At 52.8% G+C, this 1,536-nt stretch overlaps 1 annotated feature.

Annotated features, from left to right (window-relative positions):
* Nucleotides 483–1,096: an enhancer, noted in NCBI's record as "H3K4me1 hESC enhancer chr20:36049663-36050276 (GRCh37/hg19 assembly coordinates)". NCBI's record gives its function as "activates a minimal SCP1, AML or CMV promoter by ChIP-STARR-seq in naive H9 embryonic stem cells {active_cell/tissue: H9 hESC(naive)}" and the evidence as "EXISTENCE:reporter gene assay evidence [ECO:0000049][PMID:30033119]".

Raw genomic sequence — 1,536 nt, 5'->3', positions numbered from 1 at the left:
CCACCTTTTCTACAGGGAACACATATGACATCTGAAACCAAAGGAAAACAATAAATGTCATTTCTGAAAGAAAGGAAATGTTCGCAGAGGGGAACAAAAGCTGGCAGGGCTGCAGAGGCGGTGAGGGAAGGCGGGAGTACATGCAGCCTGGCTCACACCCACCCACCACACACACACAACCCTCAGCGCCCACACTCACACACACACCACACACACACACACACACACACACACAGCCCCTTCTTCAGGCTCACAGCAGGAGCGGCGAGAGTGAAATTCCAGAAATCTCCAGGAAAAAGGGTGGAGAAGAGGAGGAAGGAGAGGCAGCCAGGAAGCCTGGAGGTGGAAGGACAGACAGACACACTCACTCACCCCCGCACAGGCACACCTCAAAGGGACACGAGCAATAGGCACCAGCACCCTGTTACTCCTGTGGGTGGTGGGTGCAATGTTCATGGTTTTTTTTTTATTACAAAGGTAATAAAGCTCTCTGTGCTCACGGCAGATAATTTAGAAAGAAATGATGCTCCATCTTTGAATGAGCAAAAGAAATGATGAATGGGGGTGACCCGGGGGAATAGAGGGAGAGCGAACTATGAAGAAACCACAGAGAGGAGGCGAGGGAGACAAAAGTGAGTGGAGGGACACACACACGCGCGCGCGCACACACACACACACACACACACAGAGGATGCAGTGAAGGGCAAGATGGCAGTTCACGAAGGTGCAGAGAAAGGGAGGCGGCAGAAAGACAAGCGCACACACAGGCAGAAGGTGTCCAGGGAGCCAGATGTGTGGATACCCCGCCCCCCATATGCACCCCAGGAGCTCCCACAGGTAGGGACAAAATCCAAGGAACCTTCAGAGACAGCAGGAGGCACGCTCTCCCACAGACACACACAGTGTGGCCCGGCGTCTGCAGAGTGGGGTTTGTGAATGAATGAAAGTGGATGTGTGTGGGAATCCCCAGGGTGAGGGCAGAACGGAGACGGAGGAAGGCGCCCAGAGACAGAGGGGCTCAGAGACAGACCAGAGAGACGGTGACAGACTGAGAAAGGCAGAGTCCCTGAGAGGAACAGAGAGAGGGCCAGGCAGAGCCCAAGGGAAGAAGGGGCGGACAAGAGTGTGCAAGGTATGCACACCTGTGCATGGGGGCCCGGGCTACAGACCAACGTGGGGGCCACTTCCCAACCTACACCCAGAGGCCTCTCTTCTTGGGAAACGGAACCCACAGAGGCTTCGATTGTTTTCTCTGTATTTTCTAAACATCCTGTCATGAAGATGGAGCATTACCTTTGCAATCGGGAAAAAAAACGCATGGCTGGGAAGAAGAAAGAAGATAAAGAAACAAAACTGTCGCAGAGGGAGTGAATGGAGATGAAGTTACAGAGAACAGTGAGGGGAGGCCATCAGACGCACACGCATACACACACAATATGCACACATGCACACACGCACATATATACACACATCAACATGCACACATACGCTTGCATACACATGCATACACACACATACACACGTGCATACACACTC

The sequence above is a fragment of the Homo sapiens genome, chromosome 20 (assembly GCF_000001405.40).
Source record: "Homo sapiens chromosome 20, GRCh38.p14 Primary Assembly".
NCBI classification, from domain to species: domain Eukaryota; kingdom Metazoa; phylum Chordata; class Mammalia; order Primates; family Hominidae; genus Homo; species Homo sapiens.
The sequence above is the reverse complement of the archived record's forward strand: the minus strand, read 5'-3'. Positions and strand labels throughout refer to the sequence as shown.